A 2,456-nucleotide genomic window follows, 5' to 3' on the forward strand; every position below is an offset into this window, starting at 1 on the left:
CTCCTGACCTCGTGATCCACCCGCCTCGGCCTCCCAAAGTTCTGGGATTACAGGCGTGAGCCACTGCGCCCGGCTGAGTTGGTTAGTCTTTCTAAACCTCAACCTGGCCATCTGTAAAATGGGGACAACAGTATCTCCTTTACAGGGTTGTTGTAAAGATTTAATGAGGCACTCAACACATTGTCACATTCAATAAAAGTTAGTTACTAACTTTTTAATAAACATTCAATAACAGCTATTATACAATAAAGCAATCATTTAATAAAACTTAATTTCTATTATTATTGCTGGTTTTATTAATATTATGATTCCCTCAAATGATTTCTCATTTTAAAATGGGAAAATATCTAAAAATGCTATTCTATATTACTTCTCTCTCCTATTCTATTTAAAGATGATTCAGCGTCTGTATCCCTTCATCTAACTAAACTTTAAAATTGGATTTTAAACTTCAATTGCCAGTGATCTGTTATCAATCTCTTACCTGTCTTGCCTTTAGGTTAAACATGGCCCCAAATGAGCTTGTCGAAGTCTAGTTACTTTCAGATATTCAACAATTACTCTCCCATGGTGTTCTAGGCACTGGGCTGGCAAGACCTGGGCATTCAGAGATGGAGGAGAACCAACATGCAGGCAGCCATGGGCTGGAGCCAGGTAGGGTCATGGCCACCATGGTGCCAGGGATGGGGTGCACCAGCCGAGACTTTCTTGGAGAGAGACTTCCTCTTAGTCCTAAATTCTTTTTCATTCCACCCAGGCCTTATGTGTTTAAGAATGCATAACTCACCATTCCAAAGTACTGTGTCTCTTACCTATGCTGTCTCTACACTGCAGCCCCCTTCTAGCCCTAAAGGGAAGGGAGAGAGGGAAGTCTTGTGAGTAACACAGGTGATGGTGGTATGTGTGTGTGTGTGTGTCGGGGGGGGGGCGGGGGGCATTCCTCTCTCCTCCTTAATCAGGGCCAACTGGCTGACAGTGTCTCCCACAGGACACTGTGGTAAGAAAGAAACAGCAGAGAGCCTGGACAGCAGAGAGGCTGGAAAGACACCACCACCTTCTTGGGATCCTCTCTTTTCTCCAAGTGCTCATGGAAGAGAGGGAATAGGATTTATACTGATACTTTTCATAACAGAAAAAAATAACTAGCATTATTAAGCTGTCATTATGATTCAGCTACTGTGTTCTAAACACTTTACACTTGATCTCAGTTATTTCTTATAATAATTCTCTAAATTTGCTAATGTTAATTGTGCCCATTTCACAGATAAGAAAATTGAGGCTTCAAGACATCAAGTCACTTACCTGAGGTCCCACAGCTTAGAAGCAGTAGAGTTAGAATTTGGACCCCAGCGTTCTGGCTCCAGAGCCTGCAGTCCCACCTCTCCCAGGACCCTGAGGTTGGGGCTCCCTGCCTGGGGTCAGTGCAGGATTGACCTGACCACAATTGAGGTACATGCCACACGATGGTCTGCACAAGATACAACTGATTGTTTTTTTTTTTTTGAGATGGAGTCTCGTTCTGTCACTAAGGCTGGAGTGCACTGGTGCAATCTCGGCTCACTGTAACCTCTGCCCCCTGGGTTCAAGCAATTCTCCTGCCTCAGCCTCCCAAGTAGCTGGGATTACAGGTGTGTGCCACCATGTCTGGCAAATTTTTGTATTTTCATTAGAGACGGGGTTTCACTGTGTTGGGCAGGCTAGTTTTGAACTCCTGACCTTAAGTGATCTGCCCACCTCCACCTCCCAAAGTGTTGGGATTACAGGCGTAAGCCATCGCACCCGGCCACAACTGATTCTTAAAGCTCATTTGCTAGAAGGAAAGAATGCAGATGGCCTTCTTCATACATCTTATGAGAGGACTACAGAGAAGGATTTTAATTCGTTTTTGACTTTTACATAACCTAAGGGAAGGAGTGAGATCCACTGCGCACTACCCATGGTGGGCCGTGGGTGGTGAGGGGAGAAGTCTAAATCACTTGTCTGTAGATTTTCCTGCTGCCCAGGGAGTCTGGGAAGCCTTTGCAGGGGTGGCATGTGAATTTTCAACACTTTTTTACAATCACTGTGAACTATATAAGACTTAGTCTCTGCCTTTGTGAGTTTGGAAGACAGGCATTTTACAGATGTGAATTTTTATACAGAGCAGATTAAAATACAAACTACACAGAGATTACATACTAAGAGCTGTGTGGTTGCATCACACAAAAAGCATTAATTGTTTCTAGGGATGAAAATGGACAGTGCGGTCAGAAAACATTCCACAGATGATAGGACAATTGAGTTAGGGTATGAAGGGATGAATAGGAGTTTGCCAAGCAGAGAAAGGGGGAGTGTGAATACTTTTTAAACTGGCAGAATATCCTAAGCTGATGCTGCAGTGCACTCTCCAATGCACTAAGATCCTACATTGTTTTATTCTTTTTTCTGTTCCTTTAAACAAGTACTTTTATAAAACA

Source organism: Homo sapiens, chromosome 14 (genome assembly GCF_000001405.40).
Source record: "Homo sapiens chromosome 14, GRCh38.p14 Primary Assembly".
NCBI lineage: Eukaryota > Metazoa > Chordata > Mammalia > Primates > Hominidae > Homo > Homo sapiens.